The sequence below is a fragment of the Homo sapiens genome, chromosome 6 (genome assembly GCF_000001405.40).
Source record: "Homo sapiens chromosome 6, GRCh38.p14 Primary Assembly".
NCBI lineage: Eukaryota > Metazoa > Chordata > Mammalia > Primates > Hominidae > Homo > Homo sapiens.
In genome coordinates, this window is record NC_000006.12 from 73557375 (window position 1) to 73577380 (window position 20006).

General features: G+C 46.4%; 1 long non-coding RNA gene across 1 annotated transcript in view, besides 6 other annotated features; it reads left to right on the plus strand.

Moving 5' to 3' along the window:
* EEF1A1-AS1 (EEF1A1 antisense RNA 1) overlaps window positions 1-18879 on the plus strand; it is a 52643-nt gene extending 33764 nt beyond the window's left edge. The window contains exons 4-5 of the long non-coding RNA NR_187283.1: window positions 12913-15761; window positions 18204-18879. This is a non-coding gene — a long non-coding RNA (EEF1A1 antisense RNA 1). The remainder of the gene's footprint in view (window positions 1-12912; window positions 15762-18203) is intronic.
* Window positions 3507-3566: an enhancer, noted in NCBI's record as "active region_24751". NCBI's record gives its function as "activates an Ori minimal core promoter by ATAC-STARR-seq in GM12878 lymphoblastoid cells {active_cell/tissue: GM12878}" and the evidence as "EXISTENCE:reporter gene assay evidence [ECO:0000049][PMID:35858748]".
* Window positions 3577-3716: an enhancer, noted in NCBI's record as "active region_24752". NCBI's record gives its function as "activates an Ori minimal core promoter by ATAC-STARR-seq in GM12878 lymphoblastoid cells {active_cell/tissue: GM12878}" and the evidence as "EXISTENCE:reporter gene assay evidence [ECO:0000049][PMID:35858748]".
* Window positions 6150-6699: an enhancer, noted in NCBI's record as "H3K27ac hESC enhancer chr6:74273247-74273796 (GRCh37/hg19 assembly coordinates)". NCBI's record gives its function as "activates a minimal SCP1, AML or CMV promoter by ChIP-STARR-seq in primed H9 embryonic stem cells {active_cell/tissue: H9 hESC(primed)}" and the evidence as "EXISTENCE:reporter gene assay evidence [ECO:0000049][PMID:30033119]".
* Window positions 8350-8899: an enhancer, noted in NCBI's record as "OCT4-NANOG-H3K27ac-H3K4me1 hESC enhancer chr6:74275447-74275996 (GRCh37/hg19 assembly coordinates)". NCBI's record gives its function as "activates a minimal SCP1, AML or CMV promoter by ChIP-STARR-seq in naive H9 embryonic stem cells {active_cell/tissue: H9 hESC(naive)}" and the evidence as "EXISTENCE:reporter gene assay evidence [ECO:0000049][PMID:30033119]".
* Window positions 8448-8630: a silencer, noted in NCBI's record as "fragment chr6:74275545-74275727 (GRCh37/hg19 assembly coordinates)". NCBI's record gives its function as "represses an EF-1alpha promoter that drives an FKBP-Casp9 reporter gene in an ReSE screen in phorbol 12-myristate 13-acetate-treated (for megakaryocytic differentiation) K562 erythroleukemia cells {active_cell/tissue: K562(+PMA)}" and the evidence as "EXISTENCE:reporter gene assay evidence [ECO:0000049][PMID:32094911]".
* Window positions 18641-19356: an enhancer, noted in NCBI's record as "OCT4-NANOG-H3K27ac-H3K4me1 hESC enhancer chr6:74285738-74286453 (GRCh37/hg19 assembly coordinates)". NCBI's record gives its function as "activates a minimal SCP1, AML or CMV promoter by ChIP-STARR-seq in primed H9 embryonic stem cells {active_cell/tissue: H9 hESC(primed)}" and the evidence as "EXISTENCE:reporter gene assay evidence [ECO:0000049][PMID:30033119]".

Sequence of the window (20006 nt, forward strand, 5' to 3'; positions counted from 1 at the left end):
AATAGCTCAGTACATCTGCAAAGGCAAAAGATATTCCAGCAGGCGCTCCAGGCTCTCAGTCCCCGGGCCATATGGCCTTGATAACTTCCCCAATTACTCTGGAAACTGTTAATTTTTCAGTCTGCACTTGAAACAGAGCTATAATTGTCCAGTGAATGCAGAGGAAGAAGGTAAGTCAGCCCCTGGAGAAGGTACCCTGAGCACTGCCCTGTTGCCTTGGCTGTGCCCAGGGTGCTCGGATTGCAGACAGAGAATTATACCCAAGAATACGAGGCCCAGGCGAGGCTGCCCTGCTCAGTGAAGAAGGAAATGAATTTTAACTCCAGACGCAGCACTCACTTTTAGCTATGGGGATTATTTTAGCTATCTCCAGTTCTCTAGTCTGGGTTTGTGTTCCAAGTGTGAAGACATCAACCATCCCTCCCACCCCGACCCCTTTTTTTTGAGACAGGGTCTCGCTGTGTGGCCCAGGCTTGAGTGCAGTGGGACGATCATGGCTCACTGCAGCCTGGACTCCCAGGTTCAAGGGATACTCCCAGCTCAAACTCCTGGAGTAGAAAGACTCACAGGCATGCACCACCACACCTGGCTGTGTGTGTATGTGTGTGTGTGTACCATGCCTGACTGTGTATGCGTGTGTATGTGTGTAAAGATGGGGGTGTCACTATGTTGCCCAGGCTGGTCTGGAATGCCTGGGCTGAAGTGATCCTCCCCCTCAGCTTCCCAAAATGTTGGGATTACAGGTGTGAGCCACTGTGCCCAGCTTAAATATTTTAAATAGTCCTAAAGGCAGAAGTCCCTTGACTCTTCAGAAAAATGGGAAAATAGTTTAAGGCATTCTCACCACCACAAATGGCTGTGGCAGTACATTCACATTTATAGTTGTCAGGGCATTTATAGTTGGTTAGGGACTTGTCCTTTATAAAACTACTTCAACCAATCTTGCTCTCATCTTTCTTTTGATTTTGGGTTACTTTTTTACATTAGAGACTAAATGTAGGCTAATGGATGAGACTTCAGGGAGAAACAGAAAATGGGAAGTTTTAATCAGGGTTGTAAGCTGAAAGGAATATTTTAACTTGAATTGCCCAGTATAAATATACATAGATAAACCAAAAGCAAAAAAGATTTGGAACCTCTCTATTTGCTGCGTTTATGCATAAGAAAGCCTAGCTAAAATCAGATTCTCTTATCAACAGTAATCTATATGCTTTTCCCAATTAAAAGAACTTTAACACTCCAGTGGGTGTTGTGATGAATGACTACTGATATCATTCAACCACATTAATTCACCCAATATGTCCCAAGGAGTAGCTGTAGCCTTAGTGATCCAGAAACACAAAAGACAGGTCGGTCAGGTCCTTCACCCTCTGGAGGGCAGGTGGGGGTGGACTGATGGCACTGGAGGGGACAAGTGTGAACAGAAAGTGATACGTATTTCAGTATGGTATTAACAGGCCCCCACATCCTTTCAACCTTGAAATATGAGGTTTCTGGGCAGCTAAGAAAAGGGATGTCTTACAGGGTTGGGGGTGTCTAGGACTGAGCTTATTGTCTTGCTTTGCCCAGGACAGTTACAGAGCTGGGAAAGGGAGGGGGAGGAGCCCCATCCTCCAGGAGGGGGAGCAGCACCTGGGGTCTACTAGGGAACAGCTCACCCACACTGAAGACAGGCTGATTTTCCCTCACGTTTTTTCTGTCTTCACTAATTTGACCTCTGCTGTTACAGAGGTCAAATTTTGTTCTTTCTCCATCCTCATTCCCTACCTTGCCCCTTCCTTTGTTCTCCCTAAACAAAAATAACAAAGAGCCTTGGGCTCTAAACTGAGCTAGAGGTATGTTGCAGGTGGTGGGCTTGGTTAGTTAAGGTTCTAGAGGCTAGGGCTGCACTTGGTCCTGTTGTTTCTCTCTACTCATAGAGAAACTTCCATACTTGTACATTTTCCTTTCTTTCTTTTTTTTACCCCCAGACAGCATCTTGGTCTGTCACCCAGGCTGGGTGCAGTGGGACGATCTTAGTCCACTGCAACCTCCCACTCCGGAGCTCAAGTAATCCTCCCACCTCAGCTTCCTGAGTAGCTGGGATTACAGGTGTGTGCCACCACATCCGGCTAATTTTTGTAGAGATAGGGGGTTCTGTCCATGTTACCCAGGCTGGTTTTGGACTCCTGAGCTCAAGAGATTCTCCCGCTTTGGCCTCCAAAATTGCTGGGATTAAAGGCGTGAGTCACACTGCCTGGCCTCGCGCCTTTCTTTTCTAAGTGAGCGTGTGTGTGTGCATGTGTGTGTGTGTGTGTGTATTTTATTGTATTTTTTTTTTTTATTTTTGAGATGGTGTCTCGTTCTGTCACCCAGGCTGGAGTGCAGTGGCGCGACCTCGGCTCACTGCAACCTCTGCCTCCCGGATTCAAGTGATTCTCCTGCCTCAGCCTCCCGAGTAGCTGGGATCACAGGCGCCCGCCTCCACGCCTGGCTAAGTGCTTTTCAAAATGGCTACCGAACCTTTTTGCCTCGTTTGGTTACAAACTTCACCTAGAACCCGGTTCTTCCCATTGTTGACTCTTGGCATTAACAAAATGAACAGGCCGGGCGCTGTGGCTCACGTCTGTAATCCCAGCACTTTGGGAGGCCGAGGCAGGTGGATCACCTGAGGTCAGGAGTTCAAGACCAGCCTGGCCAACAAAGTGAAGCCCTGTCTCTACTAAAAATACAAAAATTAGCCGGGTATGGTGGCGTGCGCCTGTGGTCTCAGCTACTCGGGAGGCTGAGGCAGGAGAATCGCTTGAACCTGGGAGGCGGAGGTTGCAGTGAGCCGAGGTCGCACCACTGCACTCCAGCCTGGGCGACAGTGAGACTCTGACTCAAAAAGAAAAAAGAAAAAAGAAAACCCCAAATGAACAGAAATACATGTTCTTTTTGATATAGGATCTGTGACATCATCCTTGAAAAAACCCAGGAAAAGCCCACAAGTACCTATGAAATAGCTTTGAAGCACTTTTAAAAAAAAAAATCTGGCAGAAGGCCTAAAAAACTCCGAGGTAGCTGGTGATATTTTCTATTTTAAATACTAGGGAATTAAGGCACAGAGGTGACTAAGGTTTACACAGCAGAAAGCTGCAGCGCCTAGAGTCAATGCAGGTCGTCGTTAGCCCTGGACTATTTCTGCCACTACCAGGGTTTTCAACAAAGAACAGTACGTGTGACAAAAATCCATCTGTTTGTTTCTCTTTTTGAATTACTTAACCTTTGAATATTCAACCTTTTGCCCTCTTTTGCTTTATGTTTTCACACCATCTTATCCTCAAAGAAGGGGAAATACTTATCTTCTTCTGTAAGCCTTTGTATCTAAGAACACAAATGAAGTATTTAGGGACAATTGCTTTGATTTTTACAAGAAAACTCAGTGGCTATTTTGGGTGACGGTATGCTTTGCTAGCAAATAGAAATAGAGAAAATCTGGCATCTCAAGGTGAAATAAGAGTAAACAGTTTCCAGAATTTTCTCCCTCTCTCCTTCCTTAATAATTGCAAATTGCCACTGCTTATAACCATAATAGAAACTAGACATGTCTCCCGGCCTTCCTCAATGAAAAAAATAAAAAAGAAAAGAAACTAGACATGACATAGAGATGTCACTTATGAAAAAGAAAAAAAAATTCAAAGGAATCTCACTTCTGCTTTCAACATTTCTTACCAAATCCAGTTTCTAGGACACAAATCATTCCGCAACCCCTCCTTCCAATTTCTAATCCTATTTTAATCACTGAAATGGGCAGAGTCAGATTTTATGTATGACAATTAATCCCCTATGCAAAGTTAAAACTAATTTTAGGGTAAACAAAAAGTTAACTTCAAAGAGCTAGAGGCTGGGCGCGGTGGCTCACGCCTGTAATACCAGCACCTTGGAAGCCGAGGCGGGCAGATCACTTGAGGTCAGGAGTTCGAGACCAGTGGCCAACATGGTGAAACCCCGTTCTCTACTAAAAATACAAAAATTAGCTGGACATGGTGGCAGGTGCCTGTAATCCCAGCTATTTGGGAAGCTGAGGCAGGAGAACCTCTTGGAGCTGGGGGGTGGACGTTGCAGTGAGCCAAGATCGGGATACTGCACTCCAGCCTGGGTGACAGAGTGAGACTGTGTCTCACACAAACAAACAAAAACATACACAAAGAGGAAAGAATTAAAATCTCAGTAAACACCCTAATCCCATCACTCTATTACCGTAGCTTTCTTTCTTTTTTTTTTTTTTTTTGAGACGGAGTCTCGCTCTGTTGCCCAGGCTGGAGTGCAGTGGCGCCATCTCGGCTCACTGCAAGCTCCGTCTCCCGGGTTCACGCCATTCTCCTGCCTCAGCCTCCCAAGTAGCTGGGACTACGGGCGCCCGCCACCGTGCCTGGCTAATTTTTTGTATTTTTAGTAGAGACAGGGTTTCACCGTGTTAGGCAGGATGGTCTCGATCTCCTGACATCGTGATCCGCCCGCCTCGGCCTCCCAAAGTGCTGGGATTATAGGCGTGAGCCACCGCACCCGGCCCTATTACCATAGCTTTCTTGATACCTGACTGATAACTAAATGTCAGTGCTAATAGCTCAAGCTCTATCTCTAAAGTTTAGAATTTTCTTTTTTTTTTTTTTTTTCTGAGACAGAGTCTCACTCTGTTGCCCAGGCTGGAATGCAGTGGCACGATCTTGGCTCACTGCAACCTCCAACTCCCTGGTTCAAGTGATTCTTCTGCCTCAGTCTCCAGAGTAGCTGAGACTACAGGCACACGCCACCATGCCCAGCTAATTTTTGTATTTTTAGTAGAGATGGGGTTTTGCCACATTGGCCAAGCTGGTCTCAAACTCCTGACCTCGTGATCTGCCTGCCTCGGCCTCCCAAAGTGCTAGGATTACAGGTGTGAGCCACTGTGCCCGGCCAAGTTTAGAATTTTCTAAGTCACCAAAAGGCTTCGACATTTTAACCATTGACCCAGACATTTGACAGAGGCCCCTTTGCAATTGGGAAAAGACTTGGAAAATAATAATGTTCACTTGCTACTGGAAATTTTCAAAGGGATTAGTTGAATTTATCCAACAGTGCATGAATACCTAGTATCACCAGGAACCAATTTGGGTCTACATGGGTACATTCAGGGGTTACTACCTTCTAACCTTATCAGAAGGTAACTAGGGAATGGATAAGCAAGGAATTCATCCTATTCCTGTCATTGGCCTAGTGACTATTCCCCAAAGAGAATGGAATCTCATTCCCATTTGCCTTTTTTCTTTTTTAATTTTTTTTTATGCTTTAAGGGGGTGTATAATGTAAGAAATGATTTGGATTTCTGCTCCTGGATGTTATAGTTTTGGAGATTTAGGCTCCAATCTCTAAAGTTCGTATCTGTGATTGTGCAATCATTAGGTATTATTTTATTTGTCTATGAAGTATGACTACAGTTATATCATAAAACAGAATTATTAATCGTAAATCTCAGTTGAGATCTTTTTATTTGTTTTTAACCTTGTATCCTGAAAGCCTAAAACAGTGTTTGATTCCTTTTTTTTTTTTTTTTTTTTTAGATGGAGTCTTGCCATGTTGCCCAGGCTGGAATGCAGCTGCAGGATCTCGGCTCGCTGCAACCTCTGCCTCCTGAGTTCAAGCGATTGTCCCACCTCAGCCTCCTGAGTAGCTGGGACTACAGGCACTCGCCACCACTTCTGGCTAGTTTTTGTATTTTTAGTAGAGACAGAGTTTCACCATGTTGGCCAGGCTGGTCTCGAACTCCTGACCTCAGGTGATCTGCCCACCTCGCCTCCCAAAGTGCTGGGATTACAGGAGTGAGCCACCGTGCCCAGCCAGTATTTGATTTTTAATGAATATTCTTAGATAACAAACAGATAAATTTAAAAAAAAATTTTTTTTTTCTTGAGACAGAGTCTCGCTCTGTCGCCCAAGCTGGAGTGCAATGGCGTGATCTTGGCTCACTGCAACCTCCACCTCCCGGGTTCAAGTGATTCTCCTGCCTCAGCCTCCCAGTAGCTGGGACTACAGGCGCCCGCCACCACACTCAGCTAATTTTTATACTTTTAATAGAGACGGGGTTTCACCATGTTGGCCAGGATGGTCTCGATCTCTTGACCTTGTGATCCGCCCGCCTTGGCCTCCCAAAGTGCTGGGATTACAGGCGTGAGCCACCACGCCCGGCCACAAACAGATAAATTTTTGTCGAGTAAACAAATAAATGTTCCAGTGAATGATCTTTTTGGAAATAAAGTTGATTCCTAAATTACAATGGAGAAATTTAAACAAAAACCATCTCATGGTTCCTATTGTAAAAAGTGACATGCTGGGCGCAGTGGCTCACGCCTCTGATCCCAGCACTTTGGGAGGCCGAGGTGGGTGGATCATGAGATCAGGAGATTGAGACCACTGCTTGAACCCAGGAGGCGCAGGTTGCAGTGAGCCAAGATCGTGCCACTGCACTCCAGCCTGGGCGATAGAGCCAGACTCTGTCTCAAAAAAAAAAAAAAAAAAAAAGGGACAACATAGGTTGGGTGTGGTACCTCACATCTGTAATGGGCCTTTGGGAGGCCCAGGTGGGAGAGTCACTTGAGCCCAGAAATTTGAGACCAGCCTGGGCAACACAGTGAGACTCGGTCTCTATTTAAATACAGAAAAAAAAAAGTGATAACATGGACATATTAGGCAAATATTATTCAAGTAATTGTTAGCAAGAACTTAATAATATATGGTATGAGGAACTGTGTGCATGAAATGGACCATAGAAAACAATAATAATTCTAAGGTCGGTTTTTATGGAAGAGACAGAACTGAACTGAGCCCTAATTGCTTAGTTTGTAGAAAGCAAAGGAGATAAGCAAAAATATTCCAGTGAAGGGGATATGTCACAGTAGGCTAGGAACAGTGAAAAATCTACTTGACTAACCTGAAAGTGGGAAGGCTCAGAATAAAATGGGAAAGGGTGTGTCAGATACTAGAGGGCCTTGAAGATCACACAGAGGTGTTTAAACTTGATCCAGTGGGAAACAGGGAGCCACAAGGGGTTTTAATGGGGTGACTAAATTAGCGAAAATAATGTATAAGGAAGTTAGCTGGAAATGCCAATAATATTAATTTCCTTCTATTGAAGACCTGATGTGTGCCAGGCACTAGGCAAACAGCCCTAAGATAAGAATTTTTGCTCCCATGTAACGGTTTAGTTAAATGAGAATCCAAGAGGCGACTTACTTGAGCCATAGAGTTAGTAAATGGCTGAGTTAAGACCTACACTTGGGTCCCTATGTCAGAGGCGTGTGAACCAGAGCAACTCCATCTTGAATAGTGGCTAGGTAAAATAAGGCTGAGACCATCTGGGCGGCATTCCCAGACAGTCTAAGTCACAGGATGAGATACGGGGTCAGCACAAGATACAGGTCATAAAGACCTTGCTGATAAAACAGGTTGCACTAAAGAAGCATCAAAACCAAGATGGCGACGAGAGTGACCACTGGTTGTTCTCACTGCTATACTCCTACCAGAACCGTGACAGTTTACTAATGCCATGGCAATGTCAGGAAGTTACCCTATATGGTCTAGAAAGGGGAGGAGCTCTCAGTTCCGGAAACTGCCCACCCCTTTCCTGGAAAACTCATGAATAAGACACCCCTTGTTTAGCATATAATCAAGAAATAACCATAAAAGTGGGCTGGGTGTGGTGGTTCATGCCTGTAATCCCAACACTTTGGTGGGTCGAGGCAAACAGATCACCTGAGGTCAGGAGTTCGAGTCTAGCATGGCTAACATGGCGAAACCCCATCTCTACTAAAAATACAAAAAAGTTAGGCGTGGTGGCGGGTGCCTGTAATCCCAGCTACTGGGTAAGCTGAGGCAGGAGAATCGCTTAAACCGGGGAAGCGGAGGTTGCAGTGAGCTGAGATCGTACCATTGTACTCCAGGCTGGGTGAAAAGAGCAGAACTCTGTCTTAAAAACAAAAACAAAATAAAAAAACACCATAAAATAGCCAACCAGCAGCCCATGCTGCTGCTGTGCCTGTGAGGAGCCATTCTTTATTTCTTTACTTTCTTAATAAACTTACTTTCACTTTATGGATTCAGCTCAAATTCTTTCTTGCTCGAGATCCAAGAACCCTCTCTAAGGGTCTGGATCAGGACCCTTTCTGGTAATACACCTATCATTTACATGTTCTGTCTGTTTTCATGCTACAACAGCAGAATTGTGCAGTTGGACAGAGACCCTATGTCCCACAAAGTCTTAAATTTGTACTATCTGTCCCTTTTCAGAAAAAGTCTGCTGACTCCTGTAGAGCTTTGCTATTCAGTGTGGCCTGTGGACCAGGAACAAGGGGCAACCTCTGGGAGTTTGTTAGAAAGGAAGCATCTTGGGCACCCCTTAGACCTGTTGAATTCAAATCTGCATTTTAGCAAGATTCCAAATGAATCTGTATGCACATTAAGTATAAGAAGCATTGTTGGCCAGGCACGGTGGCTTACGCCTGTAATCTCAGCACTTTGAGAGGCTGAGGCGTGCGGATCACCTGAGGTCAGCAGTTTGACACCGGTTGGCCGATGTAGTGAAACCCCGTCTCTACTGCCAGTATGGTGGTGGGCACCTGTAATCCCAGCTACTTGGGAGGCTGAGGCAGAAGAATTGCTTGAACCCAGGAGGCAGAGGGTGTGGTGAGCCGAAATTGTGCCACTGCACTCCAGCCTGGGTGACAGAGCGAGATTCCATCTTAAAAAAAAAAAAAAAAAAAAAAGCATTGTTAAAATACTGTGCTATTTTGGCTGAAAAGTTAGAGCAGGACAAGCCTAGAAACTAGGACACTGGGTAGCTTAAGACTAGGAGACAGAGGCGGAAGGGACAGGGTCCACAAACATTTAAAGAATGTCTGCCATTTGAGTGTGCACAGGCAGCTACACATTCCTGCCCCAGGCCTCTGGGATTCCTGCATATTTAGTGTAGAGAATAGGAAGCCATATGCAAGTTAAAATACAAATCTGTATTCCTTATTATTAAAGTGTGTTTTGCCATGGCATTTTGAACCAACGATAATCAAATGAGCCACTATTCAACTTCCCACCTCCCCAAAATTGGCCTGAAGGACTGCTTGGAGGGAAGTTTTAAGAGATAGTAGCTCAAATATTTTGCTAATGCAGTTTCGAAAATGCTAGAGTAGATGTGAGTAAGATGATGTAGCCTGCATCTTCCGTCAAAGGTGCCATTTGATGGTTTTCTAATTTCTTTCTTTTCAGAGTCTCACTCTGTTGCCCAGGCTGGAGTACAGTGGTGCAATCTCAGCTCACTGCAACCTCCACCTCCTGGGCTCAAGTGATTCTCCCACCTGTCCCAAGTAGCTGGGACCACAGGTGCACACCACCATGCCTGGCTAATTTTTTATAGACATGGGGTTTTTCCATGTTGCCCAGGCTGGTCTTGAACTCCTGAGCTCAAGGGATCCACCCACCTTGGCTTCCCAAAGTGCTGGGATTACAGATGTGAGCCCCCGTGCCCAGCTTCTAGTTTGCTTTTTAATCATTACTCAAATTCACGGAAGAATTTACTGGCTCTCCAGTTTGAAACCACCCTGGAATTTACATTCATAACCTCCTATTATATGCCACTAAACATCAAAAAAAAATTTTTTTTGATTTCCCATTGTTTTGAGGGAGCCAGGATAACACATCCTAGCTGGTGGCCCCACAGTTATTCCCGGGAGGTGGGGCTTCCTGGTGAGTTTCTGGTGTATTCTTGGTGTGTTCTCGGCTCACAGGGCGGAGTCAGGTTTTCCTCATGCTCAGCCAGCTTGGTGACAAATTGAGGTTGCGTAAGGGAGCGGGGTACAAAGTACATGTGCTGTGCTTCAGTTTGCATCCGCCTGGTCTGTTACACATATTATCTGGAAAATACTGTGGGGTAGGTGGTGTGAGGGCAAATTGGGAAGAAGACCAAGTGAAGCATTAAGGTGAAGCCGAGCAGAGGTAGGGAAGGGTATGGGACTAGCAGCCAAGGATTTAGGATTTAGACTGCCAAAGATTGTGAACTGAGGTAGGAAATGGGTTCTTGGAGTGACTATGATTACAGCAAGCCAACTGGGGCTGCCTGGTTCCAGATTCCATGCAAGCCAGGATGATGATGATCTGCTTGATGTCTTTACTCTGGAGCTACGGCAGAAGGCTTCAGCACTTTAAAATAATGTTTGTCATACCTCACAATACACCCACCACATTACCTGGAGGCCAGGTGAACTGAAAACACAGATTGGTAGGCCCAGAGTTTCTAATTTTGTAGGTTTGGGTAGGACTCAGTAATTTCCTTTTTTTTTTTTTGAGACGAAGTCTCGCTTTGTTGCCCAGGCTGGAGTGCAGTGGACTGCAACCTCTCCCTCCTGGGTTCAAACGATTCTCCTGCCTCAGCCTCCCGAGTCACTGGGATTACAGGTGCCCACCACCACACCTGGCTAATTTTTGTATTTTTAGTAGAGATGGGGTTTGGCCATGTTGGCCAGGCTGGTTTCAAACTCCTGACCTCAAGTGATCCTCCCGCCTTGGCCTCCCAAAGTGCTGGGATTACAGGCATGAGCCACCGTGCCCAGCAATAATTTGCATTTTAACAAGTTTAAAAGTAATGCATATTCTTTGAAACTACTGGTCCTTATAGTACACTTTAAGAACCATTGCTTTAATATGATGCCTGGTTAAGAAACTCTTTGCCTTGGCCAGGTGCGGTGGCTCATGCCTGTAATCCCAGCACTTTGGGAGACCGAGGCGGGCAGATCATGAGGTCAGGAGATCGAGACCATCCTGGCTAACACGGTAAAACCCCGTCTCTACTAAAAAAAAAAAATACCAAAAAATTAGCCGGGTGTGCTAGCAGGCGCCTGTGGTCCCAACTACTCGGGAGGCTGAGGCAGGAGAATGGCATGAACCTGGGAGGCGGAGCTTGTAGTGAGCCGAGATTGCGCCACTGCACTCCAGCCTGGGTGACACAGCGAGACTCTGTCTAAAAAAAAAAGAAACTCTCTGCCTCAGAAATCAGACTCAGAAACCAAGTGGCTTGCTGGGTGGTCAAGAAGTGTGCCCCAGGGCCAGTTCTACAAATTTCCAAGCTTCTTCCTTCCCCAAATCCTGCCAGCCTGCAAGCATCAATTCAGAAATAGTTATTTCCCAGTCATTTTGCCCTTGTTACATATCTTCCAGTTAGTTTATGTGCATGTTGAATGTAACAGTTGAACAAGTATGTCTTTGAATATAATAATGTCTTTTTTTTTATTTTTTTATTTGAGATGGAGTCTCGCTCTGTCGCCCAGGCTGGCTGGAGTGCAGTGGCACAATCTTGGCTCACTGCAACCTCTGCCTCCCGGGTTCAAGCGATTCTCCTGCCTCAGCCTCCCAAGTAGCTGGGATTTCATGTGTGTGCCACCATGCCCGGCTAATTTTTGTATTTTTAGTAGAGACAGGGTTTCACCATGTTGGCCAGGCCGGTCTCGAACTCCTGGCTTAAGTGATCCGCCCACCTTGGCCTCCCAAAGTACTGGGATTATAGGCATGAGCCACCATGCCCTGCCAGATATAATAATGTCTTTATAAGTCAAGAATACCACTAGAGAGCCTGTAGGATAATTTCAAAGAATTCATACTTATAAAATGGAATATTAGACTATTCTCTTAGTAGGACTGCCTTTGGAAAGCATGTGGTCAAATCCTGTGGGTTCCAGCAATCTTGCTAGTGTCTCCTTATTACATTGCCTGCCCTTTATTCTGGCTCCCAGCTGTTGTGGTTTTCCTCTCAGCTCACCTGAATATGTGTATTGGCCTACAGTGTTCTCTGGAAAAACTTGTGGGAACAGAGCAGTCTGGGAACCGAACAGCAGGATTTGGGCAAGGGATGATGAGGAAGCAGGCTTTCAACTGAGGCAGTCGTTCATCATTGTAAAAATTACTACCGCTGCACTGATCTTGCTCCAAACTCCAGAGGCACATAGCTCCAGGGACTCAGAAGGGCCAAGAACCGTAGCATGGAAGCCCAGCTGTGTTTGGCACACGTAATCTGCATCTCCCTGTTTAACTTAAACAGATACTTGGTTAAGTGCTTCCTCTTTGGGTTTGTATGCATTTTACTTAACTACTTGGCTGTAAATTCCCTGGCACATAAGCAAATGATTTTATTTTTAATTTTTATATATTTATTTATTTATTTTTGAGATGGGGTTTCGCTCTGTTGCCCAGGCTGGAGTGCAGTGGCACGATCTCGGCTCATTGCAACCTTTGTCTCCCAGGTTCCCCAAAGCAATTCTCATGCCTCAGCCTCCTGAGTAGCTGGGATCATAGGCGTTCACCACCACACCCGGCTAATTTTTGTATTTTTAGTAGAGGTGGGATTTCATCATGTTGGCCAGGCTGGTCTGGAACTCCTGACCTCAAGTGATCCACCTGCCTTGGCCTCCCAAAGTGCTGGGATTACAGGCGTGAGCCACCGTGCCCATATTTGCTTATGTATGCGTGCATCTGCACGTGTATGTGTGTGTGTGTTTTCTAGTTTAGTGTGCAGGGCCAATTATTCTGCGAGCCAGGCTGACATAGCATGTTCTCCTTCATCTTTAGATACAGGGGACCAAGAAGCTTAGTTCAATGTGGTATGTATTTCCTTGGCTGGGACAGAAGGTGTCTGTGAGCCATGGGTATTAGGGTTAGAAGGAAACAAGACGTGGTATTCAGATGTGACATACTAGGGTCAGAAGGAAACAAGATGTGGTACCATTCAGAGGGCCTAGGGAGCTGGATCCTACACCTTGGCAAACTGTTTTGTAATTAGATGCTGTAACTGTTTTGGAGTGTCACCCCTGATGTATAAGCCTTATTTTTTACATTCTTTTTTTCCTTTTCCTTTTTCTTTCTTTGTGAAATGATCAGGAAGAAGACGTATAAGCCTTTAAGCTTAGTAAACCTTTGGGTTCTGTGCATTTGGCCATCATTCCAGTTGTCAGCATTGTGCAGGACAGGTACTTGAGGTCTGTTTTTGTGAACCAGGGACCCGAGGCACAGAGCAAGTAAGTGGATAGAAACAAATGCTGTAAGAACAAATAATTGTATTTAAAAATTTATGATTTTCATTTATTTTTCAGAGGAAGCATTAATGAGTAGGTAGTAATTTCTGGGTATTAAAAAACCATCAGAGACATTTCTTTTTCCTTATAAAAGAAGTCATAACAGTGAACATTTATAGCACTTAGCTTACTAAGGGTTTCACGTCCTATAATCCCCAGCACTTTAGCAGGCTGAGAGGGGAGGACTGCTTGAGGCCAGGAGTTCAAGACCAGCCTGGGTAACATAGCAAGACCCTGTCTCTATTTAGAAAAATAATAAAAACAAAGGGTTTCACATGTATTTTAGAAATTAGACCTTCCGAAGTTGTGAGATTTGTAATAATGTTCATTTTAGAGACTAGAAAACTAAGCCTCATGAAGGCCATGTGACTTGTCCACCATTGCACCAGTGCTGAGTGGCAGATCTCTGGTCTGGAAGCCACGTTCTTCTCACTATACCATGTTGCCATTTTTCAGCAACTGGTGCACGATGCATATTCTCCAAGACAGAAGGGAAGGAGGCTTGATTAATTGTGGCTCAGCCTTTCCTCATAGTTTTGGGGCTGTAAGACCTGTGCATTGTAAGTGAACCATAAGGTCTGTTTGCCTCAGAGCAGGTTAGTTCACACCGTGCTGCTGCTGCTTTTAAGCAATGCAGGATGAACGGAGCTTGGGAGCAATTTTCTCTCACTCCCATGGTGGCATCTCTTCAGTTCACTTTCTTTGTACTGCTCCTCTTAGGTTTATGGCCGTGCAGTTGTCAGTGCTCCTGTCAGTCTTTCCAACCTTCCCTCTAAATTCCTGGCACCAGCAGTTGGCCTAGAACATGCTGATCTTCAGCACCCTGACAGAAAAGGCTGCTATCACAGTGGAAAGTGTGGCTTCCTGGGCTGCCTCTTGGCAAAGGGCTCTAGCTTGTCCAGATTTGGGTCAGCCCCAGGGTCTATCAGTTCCAGGAGAGGTGTTGAAGGGCTGTGACAAATGCCTGCCCTGGCAGATGGAGGAAGCTCTGGCTAGCTTGAGAGCGCAGTGTAATAACAGCTGCCCTGAGAAGGGACTTCCAGCCATTCTTGTGCTCTGAGATTGTGTCCGGAATTGGTGGGTTCTTGGTCTCACTGACTTCAAGAATGAAGCCGCAGACACTTGCGGTGAGTATTACAGTTCTTAAAGGCAGCGTGTCCGGAGTTTGCTCCTTCTGATGTTCAGATGTGTTCGAAGTCTCTTCCTTCTGGTAGGTTCGTGGTCTCACTGGCTCAGAAGTGAAGCTGCAGACCTTCACGGTGAGTGTTACAGCTCTTAAGGTGGCGCATCTGGAGTTGTTCGTTCCTCCTGGTGGGCTCGTGATCTTGCTGGCTTCAGGAGTGAAGCTGCAGACCTTCGCGGTGAGTGTTACAGGTCAAAAAAAGCAGTGTGGACCCAAAGAGTAAGCAGCAGCAAGATTTATTGCAAAGAGCGAAAGAACAAAGCTTCCCCCGCGTGGAAGAGGACCCAAGCGGGTTGCCACTGCAGAGTTTGGGCAGCCTGCTTTTATTCTCTTATCTGGCCCCACCCACATCCTGCTGATTGGTAGAGCTGAGTGGTCTGTTTTTACAGGGCGCTGATTGGTGCATTTACAATCCCTGAGCTAGACACAAAGGTTCTCCACCTCCCCACCAGATTAGCTAGATACAGAGTGTCAACACAAAGGTTCTCCAAGTACCCACCAGAGTAGCTAGATACAGAGTGTTGATTGGTGCATTCACAAACCCTGAGCTAGACACAGGGTGCTGATTGGTGTGTTCACAAACCTTGAGCTAGATACAGAGTGTGGATTGGTGTATTTACAATCCCTGAGCTAGACATAAAGGTACTCCAAGACCCCACCAGAGTAGCTAGATACAGAGTGTCGATTGGTGCCTTCACAAACCCTGAGCTAGACACAGGGTGCTGATTGGTGTATTTACAATCCCTTAGCTAGACATAAAGGTTCTCCATGTCCCCACCAGACTCAGGAGCCCAGCTGGCTTCACCCAGTGGATCCCGCACTGGGGGGGCAGGTGGAGCTGCCTGCCAGTCCCAGTGCGTGCGTGCGCCCGCACTCCTCAGCCCTTGGGTGGTCGATGGGACTGGGCGCCGTGGAGCAGGGGGTGGCACTTGTCGGGGAGGCTCGGGCCGTACAGGAGCCCATGGAGGGGGTGGGAGGCTCAGGCATGGCGGGTTGCAGGTTCCGAGCCCTGCCCCGCGGGAAGGCAGCTAAGGCCCGGTGAGAAATCGAGCCCAGCGCCGGTGGGCTGGCACTGCTGAGGGACCCAGTACACCCTCTGCAGCCGCTGGCCCGGGTGCTAAGCCCCTCATTGCCCGGGGTCGGCAGGGCCGGCCGGCTGCTCCGAGTGCGGGGCCTGCCAAGTCCACGCCCACCCGGAACTCCAGCTGGCCCGCAAGCGCCACGCGCAGCCCGGGTTCCCGCTCGGGCCTCTCCCTCCACACCTCCCTGCAAGCTGAGGGAGCCGGCTCTGGCCTTGGCCAGCCCAGAAAGGGGCTCCCACAGTGCAGCGCTGGGCTGAAGGACTCCTCAAGTGCCGCCAAAGTGGGAGCCCAGGCAGAGGAGGCGCCGAGAGCGAGCGAGGGCTGTGAGGACTGCCAGCACGCTGTCACCTCTCAAGCTGACATCGGCAGCTGTGAGGACCCACCTGTTAGGTGAGGCCTTCACAAGCACTAGCATCTGTAGGGATCTTTACTTCCAATTCATTGGCAGTTACCACTACTGTGCCACAGAAAGAATCAAAGAGGGATCCAAAAGAATTAGCCAAAATTCGGCTGGGCATGGTGGCTCATGCCTATAATCCCAGCACTTTGGGAGGCTGAGGTGGGTAGATCATTTAAGGTCAAGAGTTCGAGACCAGCCTGGCCAACTTGGTGAAAACCCATCTCTACTAAAAATAGAAAAAATTAGCTGTGTGTGGTGGTGTGCACCTGTAATCCCAGCTACTCGGGAGGCTGAGGCAGGAGAATTGCTTGAACCCAGGAGACAGAGGTTGCAATGAGTTGAGATTGTGCCACTGCACTCCAGGCTGGGCCACAGAGCAAGACTCCGTCTCCAAAAAAAAAAAAAAAGAATTAGTCAGAATTCTTTCTTGAGAGCCATCCTTGTCAAGAAACCTGGATGTAGGAGGCTGTAGACTTGGATTCCAGGGTTAGCTCTGATGTTGGGATATTGTTGGATGCTACAGAAAACTGACTCAGTCTGGCTTAAACAAAGGGGAAATGTATTATTTTTCATAACTAGAAGTAGGGTGAGCTCTAGGCCCGGTCTGATCAATGGCTCAGCAATGTCATTCAGGACCCAGGGTACTTTCTGTCTCCCTACTCCTCCTCAATGTTGGTGTCATCCTAACACCAATGCTGCTGATTTTTCCTTATGGTTCCGAGATGATTCCTACTAAGGCTGCCAGTAGCAATCAGAGTTATAGGCTTCTCTTGTAACTACCAGCAGGCAGAACCTCTCCTATTATGGACTATAAATCCTTTGTTTCAGTCTGATCAGCTCAACTTAGGCCTCCAGCCTACACTCCTGGATCAATAACTGTCACCATGGGAATGTTGTGCTAATGGGCTCAGAACTGCCCTGTCTAATATGGAAGCTACTAGCCATATGTGGCTATTGAGCTTTTAAAATGTAGTCCGAATTAAGTTGTAAGTGTAAAATACTCCAAAAACTTCAGCTGGGCATGGTGGCTCATGCCTGTAATCCCAGCACTTTGGGAGGCCGAGGGGGGCTTGAGCCGAGGAGTTTGAGACCAGCCTGGCCAACATGGTGAAACCATGTCTCTACTAAAAACATAAAAATTAGCCGGGTGTGGTGGTACACGTCTGTAGTCCCAGCTACTCAGGAGGCTGAGGCAGGATAATTGCTTGAACCCAGGAAACGGAGGTTGCAGTAACCCAGGAAACGGAGGTTGCAGTGAGCCAGGGGGGATCACGCCACTGCACTCCAGCCTGGGCGACAGAGCGAGACTTGGACTCAAATTAAAAAAGATAAAATTCCAAAAACTTCATAACATACACACACGTAAAATATCTATTTAATGTTTTTTTTCTTTTAAAAATTAGTTTTATTTTTATTTTTTACTTAGAAATAAGGTCTTGCTATGTTGGCTAGGCTGGTCTCCAACTCCTGAATTCAAGTGATGCTCCTGCCTCGGCCTCCCAAGTGCTGGGATTATAGAAGTGAGCCACTGTACCCAACTTATTTATTTATTTTTATATTGATTACATGCTGAAGGCTAGGTGTGCTGGCTCACGCCTGTAATCCCAGCACTTCAGGAGGCTGAGATAGGCAGATCGCTTGAGAACAGGAGTTCGAAACCAGCCTGGCCAACATGGTGAAACCCTGTCTCTACTAAAAATACAAAAATTAGCTGGGTGTAGTGGTTCATGTCTGTAATCCCAGCTACTCAGGAGGCAGGAGAATTGCTTGAACCCATGAGGCGGAGGTTACAGTGAGCTGAGATCGAACCACTACACTCCAGCCTGGGTGACAGAGCAAGAACCTGTCTCAAGGCCGGGCGTGGTGGCTCACGCCTGTAATCCCAGCACTTTGGGAGGCTGAGGCGGGCGGATCACAAGGTCAGGATATTGAGACCACCCTAGCTAACATGGTGAAACCCTGTCTCTATTAAAAACACAAAAAATTATCCGGGTGTGGTGGTGGGCACCTGTAGTCCCAGCTACTTGGGAGGCTGAGGCAGGAGAATGGTGTGAACCCGGGAAGCGGAGCTTGCAGTGAGCCAAGATCGCGCCACTGCACTCCAGCCTGGGCGACAGAGCAAGACTCCATCTCAAAAAAAAACAAAAAAAAAACAAACAAAACCAACAACAAAAACAACCATGTTGAAATAATATTTTTGATATATTGAGTTAAATAAAATTTATTATTAAAATTAATTTAACCTGTTTATTTTTTTTTTGGTCTTTTTTTTCTGTTTGTGGAGAATGGGGCCTTGCTATATTGCCCAGGCAGGTCTCAAACCCTTGAGCTCAAGCTATCCTCCCACCTCTGCCTCCCTAAGTGTTGAAATTACAGGCACGACCCATTGTGTTTGGCTATTTTTAATTTTTTTATTTTATTTCATGTTGCAGGAAGTCAGGGACCCTGAACAGAGGGACCGGCTGAAGCCATGGCAGAAGAACATGGATTGTGCAGATTTCATGGACATTTATTAGTTCCCCAAGTTAATACTTTTATAATTTCTTATGCCTGTCTTTACTGCAATCTCTAAACATAAATTGTGAAGATTTCATGGACACTTATCACTTCCCCAATCAAATACCCTTGTGATTTCCTATGCCTGTCTTTACTTTAATCTCTTAATCCTGTCATCTCGTAAGCTGAGGAGGATGTATGTCCCCTCAGGACACTGTGATGATTGCGTTAACTGCACAAATTGTAGAGCATGTGTGTTTGAACAATATGAAATCTGAGCACCTTGAAAAAGAACAGGATAATAGCAATGTTCAGGGAACAAGAGAGATAACCTTAAACTCTGACCGCTGGTGAGCCAGGCAGAACAGAGCCATATTTCTCTTCTTTCAAAAGCAAATGGGAGAAATATTGCTGAGTTCTTTTTCTCAGCAAGGAACATCCCTGAGAAAGAGAATGTGCCCCTGAGGGTAGGCCTCTAAAATGGCCCCCTTGGGTGTGGCCATCTTCTATGGTAGAAACTGTAGGAATGAAATAAGCCCCAGTCTCCCATAGCGCTCCCAGGCTTATTAGGATGAGGAAATTCCTGCCTAATAAATTTTTGGTCAGACCGGTTGTCTGCTCTCAAACCTTGTCTCCTGATAAGATGTTATCAATGACAATGGTGCCTGAAACTTCATTAGCAATTTTAATTTCGCCCAGGTCCTGTGGTCCTGTGATCTCGCCCTGCCTCCATTTGCCTTGTGATATTCTATTACCTTGTGAAGCATGTGATCTCTGTGACCCACACCCTATTCATACACTCCCTCCCCTTTTGAAAATCACTAATAAAAACTTGCTGATTTTACAGCTTGCAGGGCATCACGGAACCTACCAACATGTGATGTCTCCCCCGGACACCCAGCTTTAAAATTTCTCTCTTTTGTACTCTGTCCCTTTATTTTTCAACCCGGCCGATGCTTAGGGAAAATAGAAAAGAACCTACGTGACTACTGGGGGCAGGTTCCCCGATAATTTCATTTTCTTTTTTTTTTTTGAGATGGAGTCTCACTCTATTGCCCAGGCTGGAGTAAAGTGGCATGATCTTGGCTCACTGCAACCTCTGCCTCCTGGGTTCAAGTGATTCTCCTGCCTCAGCCTCCCCAGTAACTAGGATTACAAGTGTGAGCCACCATGCCTGGCTAATTTTTGTATTTTTAGTAGAGACGGGGTTTCACCATGTTGGTCAGGCTGGTTTTGAACTTCTGACCTCAGGTGATCCACCCACTTCAGCCTCCCAAAGTGCTGGGATTACAGGTGTGAGCCACCTTGCCCAGCCTATTTTTTATTTTTTTGAGACAGAGTCTCTCTGTGTCGCCCAGGCTGGAGTGCAGTGGTGCCATCTTGCCTCACTGCAACCTCCACCTCCCGGGTTCAAGCGATTCTCATGCCTCAGCCACCCAAGTTGCTGGGATTACAGGCGTGAGCCACCATACCTGGGCTATTTTTAATTTTTTAATGTGGCTACTAGAAAATTTTAAATTACAGGCTGGGTGTGGTGGCTGATGCCTGTAATCCCAGCACTTTGGGAGGCCAAGACGGGCAGATCACTCTGAGGTCAGGAGTTTGAGACCAGCCTGGCCAACATGGCGAAACCCCATCTCTACTAAAAATACAAAAATTCTCTGGGCTTGGTGGCATGCGCCTGTAATCCCAGCTATTTGGGAGGCTGAGACAGGAGAATCGCTTGAACCTGGGAGGCA